The 13,427-nt window shown below is 41.6% G+C and overlaps 1 protein-coding gene across 14 annotated transcripts in view, besides 4 other annotated features; it reads left to right on the forward strand.

Moving 5' to 3' along the window:
* CRIM1 (cysteine rich transmembrane BMP regulator 1) overlaps positions 1–13,427 on the forward strand; it is a 195,358-nt gene that overhangs the window by 92,347 nt on the left and 89,584 nt on the right. The gene's annotated exons all lie outside the window — the stretch shown is intronic.
* Positions 1,221–2,420: an enhancer, noted in NCBI's record as "BRD4-independent group 4 enhancer chr2:36676488-36677687 (GRCh37/hg19 assembly coordinates)". NCBI's record gives its function as "activates an origin of replication core promoter dependent on BRD2, P300/CBP, MED14 and CDK7 cofactors, and independent of BRD4, by STARR-seq in HCT116 cells {active_cell/tissue: HCT116}" and the evidence as "EXISTENCE:reporter gene assay evidence [ECO:0000049][PMID:35650434]".
* Positions 10,474–11,153: an enhancer, noted in NCBI's record as "NANOG-H3K27ac hESC enhancer chr2:36685741-36686420 (GRCh37/hg19 assembly coordinates)". NCBI's record gives its function as "activates a minimal SCP1, AML or CMV promoter by ChIP-STARR-seq in primed H9 embryonic stem cells {active_cell/tissue: H9 hESC(primed)}" and the evidence as "EXISTENCE:reporter gene assay evidence [ECO:0000049][PMID:30033119]".
* Positions 12,642–12,936: a silencer, noted in NCBI's record as "tiled region #272; K562 Repressive non-DNase unmatched - State 22:ReprW". NCBI's record gives its function as "represses a minimal TATA promoter and a strong SV40 promoter by Sharpr-MPRA in K562 cells {active_cell/tissue: K562}" and the evidence as "EXISTENCE:reporter gene assay evidence [ECO:0000049][PMID:27701403]".
* Positions 13,062–13,356: a silencer, noted in NCBI's record as "tiled region #355; HepG2 Repressive non-DNase unmatched - State 14:Gen5'". NCBI's record gives its function as "represses a minimal TATA promoter and a strong SV40 promoter by Sharpr-MPRA in HepG2 cells {active_cell/tissue: HepG2}" and the evidence as "EXISTENCE:reporter gene assay evidence [ECO:0000049][PMID:27701403]".

Consider the following 13,427-nt stretch of genomic DNA (forward strand, 5'->3'; position numbering starts at 1 on the left):
CCCATCATACAAAAGGGAATGCTACTTTGGGATACCAGAAAATCTGCCTGATAAAACCGGGTCCATTTTTAAAACAAAACAAAGCTTGCAAAGATGTTGAATAGAGATTCTCCTCTGTAATGGTTGAGCTTACCTGAGAGAAATGGATTCACCAGAGGCAGATGCATTTGAAGGATGGATCCAGCCTGGGCTATACATCTGAGAGTCCATGTTCTCCTGGTGTCCACCAGCCCAGACCTCAGCCCAACTGGGCTATTTCTCAAGAAGATAGAGAGTTCTAAGACCACAGTGTTTTCTCTGCACTTCCTACTCCTTGCTCTCTCCAGTGTTTGGACCTAATTTTACAGACTCTTCACTTTGCCTCCGTAATTTTTCACCAGTGTTTCAGATACAGGCTTACACGGTAGACATTAACTAGTTAAAAATCTAGACAGTAATACCTCCACCTTACTCACTTTCACTGTAAGTCACGAGTTTTTTAAATACCCTACGCCTTTTGATAAGTAACTTTGTACCTTTTTATTATTGACAAGTCACCTATTTTAAATTTATTTTTATGAAATTTGTCCCAAACTTTTTGTTCTAAAAGTTCTGTTATCAATTTGTTTTATAAATATGCCGTTCTTAAAAGTTATTGAGAAAAGTCCAATCCAGCTATTTTAAGGTAGAAATAAATTAAGTCATTGTTTATAATGTCCAAAAACTTAAAATAGAGTTTCTTCTGGGTTGTGTGCATTTCAGAAAGCCAGATTCCCAAGCTCCCTCCTGGCTCCTGCCTCTCTCTGACCAAGGGCCTGATACTCTTCCAGAACCTATATCTGGAACATGTGTATCTCTTGTGTTCTGAGACACTAGACCAAAAATCCTATTTTATTTTTAAATCAATCTTCAGAAGTATTTTTTTGACTTGTTTTTTTTTTTTTCCTTAGCTTCAAGGTAATTAAAAATGTTAGATTATCTGTCAGCTAATATGTTGACTAATATGTGACTTCTGTTTTCACCAAAAAATGTAATAGAATATGTTGGACACATGAAATTCTAAGTACAATTTCACTAGAAATATTGACAAGCCAGAATCACAGAGCTCAACACAGGAGGCAGGCTGTATCACTCTCCTGTTTCATAGAGGGAGCATTGTGGAGCTGGAAGGGTCCTAGCCGGTGCACATCAGCGGAACAGGTCTGTCTGGCACTTACCACTGAGCTGCACTGTCCCTTGTGGCCCTGGGCTCACTCACCACCAGGCCCTCTCCAGTCCTGCCTCTCAGGAGCCCTAACATTCTGTGTCATGCACTTTGTTATTGTCTGTAAGCAGACACATACCTGTGAGTAAACCATTCCGTAGCTAAAGAATACTCCTCTGCACATCACCTGGTGCTGTTCAGAAAGGGCACGAATCATGTGTCCAGAGCTAGAATCCAGGCCCACTTCGGCATGAGTTTGGGTGAGGCTCTCACATTGTCTGGCTCGGTTTTCCAGTCGAAGAAAGGAGGGGAGGAAGGATTTGATTGTCTCAAAAGTAACTTCTACCTCTAAATTCTTTGACTTTCCAAAAGCCTTTAGAAGGGAAGGAACCCAAGCCGCTAGCGACAGGAGACTCCTGGGAAACAAAGGTAAAGAAAAATTTTAGGAAATTTCAGAGCTCAGAAAATAATGGGAGAGATATATGGCTCGCCTAGGGATAAGAAAAGGAGAAAGTCCAGGGGAAGTTATAAAAGAATTATGGGTTTTTTCTTTAAACTTTCTTAAAAAAACAAAACAAAAAAAAACCTTAGAAACAGCAAAATGAAATAAACTACTAGAGTAATGATTTAAGCCAGGGTAATCAGAACTGGTTGGATTGTGAAAGCTGAGTAACAATTCAGTAAAATAGATTACGTATTTGGTCAGTGGTTAGTTGACTATTGTTAGTTAACCTTTTTTTTTTCTTTACATCTATAAATAGATAGTCCCTACGTAGCAGAAGCAGAGAATATCTGGCCAAAGGCTGACTCCGCAAGATAAGGATTTACTCTGTTAAACTGCTTTCTAATAGAATGTCGATATCTCTGCCTGTCAGCCTGCCTTGGTAAATGTGCTGGAGAGGGCCATGTGTGTATGGTTCCTGGTGCCCACACAGGCTCACCTGTGTGAAACTGCATCAGCCCATACATGGCTACTTGCTGGCTCCTGGACCCATATTTGCACTTGTTTCTCCCCTTCTGTTGCCACATCACTTTCCCTGAGGTCGGATTGTGTGTGTGTCTTCTCTGTCTTCAGCTGCTCCGTATTCATATTGTTCTTTTCTGTGTTTTACATTTAATCGTGCATACACACACAGAATAATATTCATGGACAAGTTTTAGGTTCTCTTTTCCTAACTTTATGATTGGACCATTTCTTTCTGTCTCTTAAAATGAAAAAAGATCTACTCAAAGTGACTTTTTTCCTTGTTTGAACCTCAGCTTTATTTCTCTCCCATAAAACATTGACCTTAGAAGGCAATTTCCCACTCATATCCTGTCCTATCATCACAGCTCCAAACTCTGTAACTCCAGGAAAGGAAATAAGATAAAAGGAAGGATGGTAGTCCCATTGTGTCTGAAAAATATGTCAAATATACAGCCCATGACCAGAGCGAAGGTCATCAATGTCGTTTGCTTTCACTATAACATCTAAATATTTGCACCAAGCTGCTTCAATTTGAAATTGTGCTCTCAAGAAAATTCATTTTGTTGGTGCTGTCTTGCATTATGATAATAGAATCTTAGCAGATTGCTAGCACACTGTTTCTTGTGAATAGATAGAGATGTTTAGAAGAAGTTTTCTGGGGTTCCAGAATTCACAGCCTGAAATTGACTCATACTGGATGAGGCCAGCCGAATGGAATCTTTGGCAGGTTATCCCTTCCCTTCAGAAGCACTTGAGTTAAATCCAATTAATCTAACCACATAGCTACAGTGAGTGAAAACAAGGTACAGATTTTAAAATGCTCCAATCGGTTAAAACAGTTAAATAATTACATACTCATCGAGGACCTCATGGAAGGCAGAACACTGGGCTTGGTGTGGGGTATAGTGGTGAATAAAATGTGGCACATGCTTTAAAGAGTCTTAACATCTTACAGATATGACCAATGCCAGTTTCAAAAAGGCTCCCAAGTTTTGGAAGGTAATAAGAAGGAAACACACAACATGCACACACACACACAGTCATCTGCCCTCAAGGAAAGAATCAATTAATAGACAGTCTTTCTACCAAACAATGAAAACCAAATTTAAGAAAAACCATACAGTAATATGCCAGCTTTAAATCCAAACTGAGAAATCAAGGACCTCAAAAAGCACATATACATATGGAACAACAGATGACAATTTTTTCTTATCCCTCCCTTCCCTCCTGAAAACTCAATAGGACAGGAGGGATTTTCTTATTCCTCTGTTCTGGAACATCTGTCTGCTTCTGAGAAATGGAACGAGCAGCAGGATCAAGAATCCTTTAGTGCTCTGTGTGCTCAAATGCTTATCCTTCCGTGGTAGAGCTTTCCAAAGTTTGTCAACTCTTATCTCCAGAGCTACAGCCCATAACTCTGCGGTTTGAAGCCTTTAGGAGGGTGTTGGGAGGTGGGAGGATCACGCAAGAGTCAGAGGCTGTCAACACAGTGCGCATCAACCCAACCTGACAAATATGTCAAAGCCAGAAACTTCCTGAGGGTGGCTTGGAACTGTCAGGGTCATGTTCAGAGCTCAGAAAGCACTTCTTTTTTTCTTCTTGGAGACAGTTTTAAGTTTTTTTAGGCCATCAAATAATATTTCCTGTAGATCCATGTGCTTTTTACCATTGTGCTAGGCAATTAAGTTGCTTATATCATGCCTACTCAAGCTAACCAGTTTTAACTATCCCTGCATATGCATTTTCAAAGGGACTTTATCTAATTAAGAGTGTTGTAATTCATTATCATGTCCATCTGTTCTAAGATAGTGTCTCAGAGAAGATGGCACTTAACAGTTTGGGTTTTTTTTTTTTAAGATTGATCTGTTAGTAGACAAATTTCCATAATTCAGTTCATTTTTGTTGTTGTCGTTCCCTTTAATTTGAATAATTTCTCCAGCTGCTTTTTGGGAGTAAATAAAATTAAGTTATATAATAAGTAAAATATGCATTAGCACAGCACAGATTTAAAACATTCCTGACTCCTGACATACTATTATGGTAGCATTCTCTCTGTTTTTAAACACATGCAGAAAAAAATTTGGAAGTGTATTTGAAGCTCATCTTTCTCAACTAAGAAAAGAACATCTATTCTGTTGCCCTCTGTCACAGTAATTTTTGGCCCAAAAGAGCGAGTCAACTCATGACTAAAAAAGCCAGAGTCTATATTAAACTCTGATGTTTTTAAAACAAAATAATTGTAGGAATTCCATGTTATTATTGGACCTATCCCCAGATTGAAGAAAATATGCTTTCCTAGAAGTAAAGCCATTGCCCATTGGAAATGAACTGTCTCCCTAGTAGAGTGTTTGATTTGTCAATAATTCTCTTCAGATGCGTGCGTGCTGTGTTTCCTGTACTAGGGCCTTAGGCTTTTTTTATCTCACCTTAAATTTGACCTAGTGTCTAGCCTTATTTTGTATTTGTCTTAGTCCCGAAAACAAGCAGGGAAGGCTCTCAGTCAGTGGCTTCCAGTTTAATCCGAGTGGTCATGGATATCACCAGACACTGTATATGTGGCCCTCCGAGTCGGACTGAGAGAAGGTAACTTAACTGAATTCCGTAAGCCTTTCAGTAAAGTTGAAAGCGGAATCCACAGCGTGATAATATTGAAACTCAGAGGTCTCTCCATACCCTCTTTTGCTATGTCATCATCATGGCACATGCAAACAGAACAGCTCTGCAAAAATGCTTTGTGAAATTACTTGCATAGCTAATAAGCAAGTCTAAAATGTAAAAGCCCTACCTGTAATGAAAATACCAAAAGCAACCCAAATCACGGAATATATTTTACTCTTCATGTACACCTTTACATTGGATATGGCTTATTGGGTTCCCCATCATTGTAGTTGCAACAGTTTGCAGATAATTCAGGGTTATATTTGGTAGACATTTAATTGCTAATTAGAACCCAGGAGGTAGAGACAGCTGGTTTCTCTTGGCCTTGGTCAGTCTGTTGTGAATGTATTATACAGCAAGTGGTTTGTAAATTATTCTTTCCTGACTTTGCTTTTGATTGAAAAGAAAGGAAGTTATATGTCATGGCTCTTATGATAATATGATCAGGGACTTTGATTTCCATAGCTAGATCATGAAGAGTTTTAATGATAATTCCTAAGACATTAGATTGTGGATTCTTTGAGGGCAAGGACCCACCCTATATATTTCATTCTCATCAGTACCTAGCACGGGTAAGTAATGAATGCTTTTAACTAAATTAGATAGACAATTAGTCTGCAGCAAAAGTCCTAGCATCAAAACCCCATAGTGTTCTTGGATTGTTCAGGGAGCAGATATTTTGAGCATTTGTCATGTGCCAGGCATTGGGCTACCCAGCAGGAATAAAATATAGTCGCTGATGTCTAAGAGCATATATTATAAAGGGAAGGCAAATATGTATAAGTCATTGTAGTTTAAAGTGTTGTGTGCTTTGGTAGTAGAAGTGTGCAAAAAACACAAAGTTAGCAAAGCAAACACATGCTAATTCCTATTTGGAGAACGGTCAGATTTGACTTTTGAACTGAGTCTTTAAGAATGAGTCAGAGTTCACAAGATGGAGAAAGAGAGAAGGGCATTCTAGGCTGTTGTTGATTTTTCGACTTGTAATGTGTCTTGCAGCTTAAAACATTAACACTAATCCCACCTACCTTTATGATTCAAGAAAAAGGGAATTCATGACAATGTTGGGTTTTCTTGAGATAACCACTCCATTGCAAGACTGCATTACTTGTTTAAGGTGTTTTGTTACTTTCCTGTTTCTTACAAGTGAAGACGCTTCTTAGTATGGTAGGCAAGGCCCCATATTACTCAGCCCTGACCTCCCTCTCTGGCCATGACTCCTGCCAGTACCCCCATAATAACCCCAGTCCTCCTCTCAGTACATAGTGTACTTCTGGTGGGCTAACCTATTAGTTTAAACTTAACACACTGTATTCTTTCTTGCCTTTGTAAATTTAGTGTGTTCTTTCCTCTATCTGGAATGCCTTCCCTCTGTGCCCACTCCCCCACATTTGATGGTCATTTCACAAACTGCCACTCACACCCCTCACCACCACCACACACAAACACACACACACACATACAGCATCAGCTGTTTATCTTTGTGCTGCTAGTTAGAGAAGGCATCATGGAAGAAGTGATCGTCAGGAATGAACCGAGGTCTCTGAGGCATGATGGGGGGCTTCAGGGTAGAAGATGCAGAGTAGCTCTGACTTTTCTCTAGCTGCTCTTAACAGCTTGAGTATCAGCACAGAGGAAGTCAAAGGGTTGAATCACAGTTTGCAGTTAGTAGTTCTTGGGGCTGAATTTTACCCCAAGACATGTTTTCTTTAATGTGCCCCTTTTTTTCTATTTTTAAATTAGTCACTGATATTTAAAAACTGGCATACTTCACGTAAAAATCTGGCTTCTCTTGAGTACATGGAAGGTATGCCCTCATTGAGTTTACCCTTTGGCATGGAATGAGTAGTGATGCCCTGTTAGAGGTCACAGACCTTCTTGAGGTGTCTAGAGTCCCCCTCTACTCTTCTAGGATTCCTGCCTGATTCAGGTTTGCCATCTCTGGGATTAAGTAAGTTGGGTTTGGGAGACAGATACAGAAGGAGGATAAAGAGGCAGGAAAGGTAAAGGCGTTAGGAAGATGGTGGTTCAAGTGAAACACCGTGGGTTTTGGGCTCCGTTGTTAAAGAGGTACAGTCAGGAGGAGGTTCAGGCCGCAGAGAAAAGGAAACGATCTGGGGAGTAGATGTCTCAGTGACTTTGAAGTGTCAGTGTGGTAGAGCATGGGCCAGGGAGAACTGGAAGGATGGACCATTGTGATCAGCAGATAGGATGTGTGACTTCAGAGAGTTCAGAGAGCTGTGGCTGCAGGACTGAGTCACCGAAGTAGAGGGGGCAACAAGGGTCACTGGATTCCAAAAGATCAAGTGAGGCCAGAGTATTGAAAATACTTTGTCCACATAGACTCTCAAGCCTCTCAGATTATAATCATATAAAACAGCTAACAGGTGTTGTGTGCTTCTGTGTTCCAGGCACTATCCTGGGTGCTTTTCATCAGTTCGTTTAATCCACATAGCAGTCATATGATATGTGGGTACTTTAATCATCCCCACTGTACATAGGCTACAATTGAGGCTTAGAGAGATTACTTAACTTACTCAAGGTCACATAGTTCCTAAGCGGCCAGAACTTGAACCTAAGACTGTGTTGTTGCCAAAGTGCATTCCCCAAACCTCTGCCCTCTAAAGCGTTGGATAGGAGACAGAGTCACCGGAAGGGAAGGTTTGCATGAGAGAGGAAAGCAACCATGTGCAAGTAGCCAGTGGTCAACTTGGAGAATGCTGACCTCCCTTCCATCCCAGGTGAATAAGTGAGTAGGATGTGGGGATTCTCAGTCTCACTGGAGATGGCTATAAGGAAATAGAATCTTTAGGGGAGAGCCAGGTAAATGTTAGAAACAAATTCGAGTGGTGCATTGTGTGATATGTTCGGAGGATGGGGGAGTTTGTCTGCAGAGGAAAGTTTGGAGGAAGCAGGGGAGTCAGTTGGAAGGGATGAGTCCCAGAGCAGTGCTCTCTGGGGATGTGCATTCCTTGGAGGATGAGAGACAATACGGTCTTTCACTTTGCACTGATGACAAGGATGAGAGGCTGGGAATTGACTGCCCAAAGGAATCCAAGTGGATGCATGCTTAAAGTCATCTGTTTCAGCACTAGCTCAGGCCCCAGATGGTTCTGGCGGCCTGAAGGAGTGTTAGCAGCCAGGCAATGGAGGCTTTGCTCAGATTTTCAAGTAGAAGGTTAGTCCAGACATCGTTGGTGTTTGTTCTTTGTGTGCTCTGGGGAGAGGATTTAATAGTCAACCTCCCATTGTGTTCTCATTTGTGGTTATATATAAAAGCTTCCCTAAACTAAATTCCCTAAACTTAGGGCCAGAACCCTGTGTATCCCCAGCCGCAATCCAGCTTAGTACCTGCTGCATGTACACACTCGGTAAACAGCTACAAAATCATTACGTGTTCATAAACAAGCTGATTCATTGTTCCAAAGCATCTATTTTCTGAGGCAGTTGGAAATTCCACTCTGAAGTGGGAATAACCTATGTTGCTAAACTAAAACTTATTCTCCACTTCCCAGCCCAGTTCTCCTTTCCACAGCGTGATGTGCCAGTTTCCCTTCCTCCTTTTCCAAACTAGTCCTTCATGCAGCTCTCACTCCCATCCTGTCTTACTCTCTAAAGCCATCCTACCAGCCGTGAAAGCAGATGCCATTGTCTTCCCCTAGACCTACGGAAGTGAAGGCAGGGAGCCTTCCGTTCCTGGGACTTGGCCAGCTCTCGATGTGTGATATCGGATTGTTGAGCTGGACTGAGTGGCCCAGGATTTCTGCCAGATCCCAGCTGTAACATTTCAACAGGGGCACGGGCCCTGCGATTACTTTCAGCTGTGTTTCTGCTGTGTCTGTCTCCACCCCCCCACCACCCACCGCTGGGGTTGAGTCCCTTCAAAACTAACCCTGATTTTTTTTTTTTTTAGCCACTCACGTCAAGGTAGTAATTTGTGAAAGATGCCGTTGTTTTCTCCCCACCACACCTACTTTCTGTGGGGCAGAGTCCTAGAAGATAATTGTTAAATTCTTATAGGAACCACGTAGACTTACAACTTCTGTTCTCCTGCAGCTTATACCACTTTCCTTTCAACTTAGCACCTTAAGATAAGCTTCCGGAGCCACATGCCAGCCTCGAGGAGGAAGCTAGGAAGAGAAGAGCTTAATGGCTGCTTTATTATTATTACCAGTAGTAGGAAGGCAAGGGAATATTTTATTTTATTTTTATTTATTTTATAAATTTTTTATTTCCATAGGTTTTTGGGAAACAGGTAGTATTTGGTTACATAAGTTCTTTAGCGGTGATTTGTGAGATTTTGGGGCACCCATCACCTGAACAGTATACACTGAACCCAAACCTAATTGTCTTTAACTTATACCTTCCCTACATGTGAGCATGTCCTTTGATTCCTCCCCCCAGAAAAAAACAAAGCGTAAAACAACAACAACGAAAGGCAGAGTGATTTTTTCTGGTGGTCTTCAAAGGGAAAGTGTTGAAGAAGGTACAGTTTCTGCTCACTGTACACAGGGGAGGGATGGCTGCGGGGGGAGAGTGTGATCCCCAGGGCAGGGCTGCACTTGCTGTGGCTACAGCACATCTGTCAGTGTTAGGGGGTGTAAATGCCAGGAAATCACGCAGGAATAAGCTTGAGACAGGGGAGAAAGGGTGAAGGAGGGTTAGTTATTCATACACAGATAGTAGTAAATCTCTTATGGTGAGGCACGAGGAAAACTGTGAGCCTAAGGAACTTTCATAGGGAGGAGTGCTGTTTTCCATAAGAAGGGTTGGACCCTCAGATAGGAAACCTGTTTCTTTTTGGATATTTTATTTGCAGCCTTTAAAAAAAAAAAAACTTACACATTCCTGGAAAGAGTAAGAAATTTAATCAGTAGAAAGATAGTACATCGAATTTAATTAAAGTTGCAGCTACTTTTTATAGAATAGCACTGTGTTTTATATGTCATTATAATTTCCATTCCCGACAAGCTATTTCATTAACACACTGTGTAGAATCCTAGTAACACAAGGGCTTTGCCCTTTTTGCTCCTCATTTATCCTTGTTTCCTGACTAAAGGGCGACCTCCCACCCACCTGTAAGTAGTTTTTAATTTATAGGCGGTCATGTCTCCACTTTTGAAGGCCTCAAGCACTCACTTCCGGTGTGTAGTAGATCCAGTATTGAAAGAAATCTTTTCCAGAAGACCTCACTGACTTGTTTTCCTCTAGGATACGGGCAGAGGAAGATCAGAGTCTGCTGGGGAAGATGAGGAATATGATGGCTTGCTGCTTCCGAGCTGCCTCCTCTGCAGAAGGAGCCTACTATGGGGAATGTTAGGATAACATCAGCACCCACACCAGGAGGATACCTCTGGGGTGACGGGGCGAGGCAGAGGTTGAGGGGCATTCCTGTTCTTTGCTGAAAGGGCTGTGGGAGGGGCAAACAGGACTCCTAGCCCTGTGGCCTCCTCCAGGAATCTCCTGTAGGTTATCTTCCTTTAAGGTTTTTCTGGTCATTGTAGTAAAACAAACTGTTGACCCTTGCGCTTAGTTATGTAGGGTCTGAAACATGCCTAGTGGTAGGGAGACAACAGCATCTAGCATGTTGTTTCTTTTCCGGCCTTGCTTAGAGTTCTTTAGTAGGGAAAAAAAAGTTATATAATTATTATGCCCCCACGAAAAACAAAACGTCACCAGTGCAAAGGCCCTATCTTGAGCTGGGCCTGAAGGTTGAGGTGCTTGGAGAGGAGGAGGATCAGGGGAGTAAGGGACACAAGGTGACTGATGTTCCTGAAGGACAGGGTGCAGGTGAGTGAGAAGAGGATGAGCTGAGGTCAGTTTGCAGCAGTGACGGGAATGGGAATGGCAGTGATAGAATCAAAGGATTTTATATTTAGAGAAGAGTTTATTATGATCCACCTGTCTCACTTTATGGATGAGAAAACAGTCTGCAAGAGTTTAAGTAGCTTGCTAGCAGTCACACATTTTTCTTCTTTGGGTGACAGTATTGGATAAATTGGTAATATTTCTGTTCTTTTCTTCCCTCGTGGTATCTCTCACTTTTAAGCAATGGTATTCAGGCAGGAAGGAGTCTTTGTAAGTGATCTAAAACAAGTACTAGTAATCATTGTTCTCATTATAATGTTAAAACTAGTTGTACTTGTTTTTTGCTTTTTTGTTTTTTTTTAGTGGAAAGTACAAATTAAACTGTGACCACCCAGGCTTTGCGCATCTAGGCACAAAGTTCTTGGAAAGTGGATTGCAAATTCCCATCAGCAGACTCTCCTGGAGAGCCTATTATATGGGCAGATTCTGGAGCCGCTCCCCAAACCTGCAGAAAAACAATGTTTGAGTGGGTACCCTGGCATCTGCATTTTAAACACATTCCATAGTCTTTCCTTCCACATACTAATTTTGAAAAGCACTGTACCTAGAAGCTTGCAGTCTAAAATGTATAAAAATAAAAAATATAAAACAATACATGGTCTAACCCCTGACTTAGTATCCATGAAAAAGTTTATTTCAGATTATTGGTTGGGTACCTTTATCATTTTTTTACTATTATTTATAAGACAAGTAAGACATGCCCCCTGCACTAGAGGAATTCACAGGAGAAACAGTCTGATTTTGATTTAGTATGATGGGCCGATGCACTTCAAGAGTTACTACCGTTACGTACTGTTGCAAGTCAGAGGAGGGAAAATTAATCCTGTTTGTTTTTTGACCAGAGAAGGTCTTACAGGGTAGATGGTCTTAAGGTTGTGGGGAATTCACCAGGGGCAAGGGAGAGGCAGGGATTTGAGGCTGGGTGGACATGAGCTGTGGCTGGAGTGATAAGGGGTGGTGGCAGGTGATTGAGTGACATCAGATCATCATTGTTGCTGGAGTGTAGGGTGTGTGCAGGAACCAGTAGAATATGGAAACTAATAACAGGTAGAGGCAGACTTAGGAGCACCTTGCAAGCTATGCCCAGGAGCTCGGACTCTGACCTTCTGGCCTGCCTGGGATTGTCTGTGAAGTCCAGGAAGCAAAGGACATGAAGGGAAAGCTTAAATGTGTACTCACCGCCCTTCAGTCAGCAGAACCTCCTAAGGGGGTGAGTGCCCTCTAGGGGTTTCCATGATTTCTGAGTTCCATTGTACTCAGGCACTCAGGTGCCCACTGAGCTTGAATCCATTACCTACTTGAGAAAAAAAAAAGACAGCTTTACCAAGTCCCACCTGGCTGCAGCTGTGGTTACATTATGCAAAAATTTATTAATGTGGTACCTCGATTGATCATTATATTAACTCTAAGGATTACATTAGAGGCTTTATTTTTCTGGTTACTTGCAAATACAGGTTGCATCTTCTTTGAAGTTAAAAAGCCCTTAGCCCACATATTGTATGATTCCATTTATATGAACTATCCAGAATTGGCAAGTCCATAGAGACAGAACATAAATTAGTGGTTGCTAAGGGCCGGAGATCAGGGGAAAGGGAGTGACTGCTAGTGAGTACAGGATTTCTTTTTGAGATGATGAAAATGTTCTGAAATTAGGTACTAGTGATGGTTATACAACCTTGTGAGTATAAAACCACTGAATTGTGTACTTTAAAAGGGTGAATACTTATCGTAAGTGAATTATATCTCAATAAAGCTGTTTTGTTTCATTTTTTAAAACCTTAGCACTTCTGCTCAAGGTCATGCAAATAGCTCTGCCTGGGGTGGCCTTTATGAATTCACAGTAGAGAAATCTCAGTGCTCTCCTCACTTTCTTTTGTGTTTTTGTTTTGTTGTGTTACTGTTATTCCTGTCTTGTTCCTCTGCAGTTCACTTCCACTTAAGAAACATTTATATGACTAGACATGATAGGTACTAGAAGAGCTTATGTTAAGGTGAGTCCTCAAGTTACCACAAAATAGAGAAAGAGGGTGCTGTAAGAAAAGTGTGGTGTTTGGGGGTTCAGAGAAGAAGCTGTTATCCGAGGTTGGCCTAGAAAGACAACTGGGCATAAGGGCTGGATGAGGAATGTGCAGAGGCCATTAGGGCAGGCAGTGCAGAGACAGCAAAGTGCGGACTTATTTGGAGAAAAGAGCATGACCGTAGCAATGGAAAATGAAGGGAAATACTGGGAAACAGAATTGAGAAAGGGTTATATGGACTTCAGAGTGTTGAATGCTAGGCTGAGAAAGTGATACATAAAATGAGGAGTAATGGAAGATAAATTTTGACTGCAGAAGTTTGGGAACTGAGCCTTAGGATGGGTGTAGCATGGTTTGGGAGAGACAGAGACGTGGGCAGGGGGAGATTGGACTAGAACTGGAAATTGGGGAGAGGGCTTCAGAAATGAGGGGTAAGTGTTGAAATCAGCTCACTGCAGCTTTTCTCATGAAATGCTGTTTGCTCTGCCCCTTTTGTGTTCTCCTTTCCTTTGCTTGCTCCTTATCCAGAGATGGGGATAAAGGGAGGGAAAGATTAGGGAGGACAAAAAGAATTAAAATGAAGAGAAAGAATGTGGTGAGGACGGTACAGGTTGCATGCGTCAGTTCTTCTGTAGTTCAGCATTTCCTGTTCATGACTCAGTAGAGGAAAATCTAGTCTCTTCTAGTGGAAAACACAGAGAACAGGAAACCCTATTTAAAATCAGGTCACTTG

This window comes from Homo sapiens, chromosome 2 (assembly GCF_000001405.40).
Source record: "Homo sapiens chromosome 2, GRCh38.p14 Primary Assembly".
Lineage (NCBI taxonomy): Eukaryota > Metazoa > Chordata > Mammalia > Primates > Hominidae > Homo > Homo sapiens.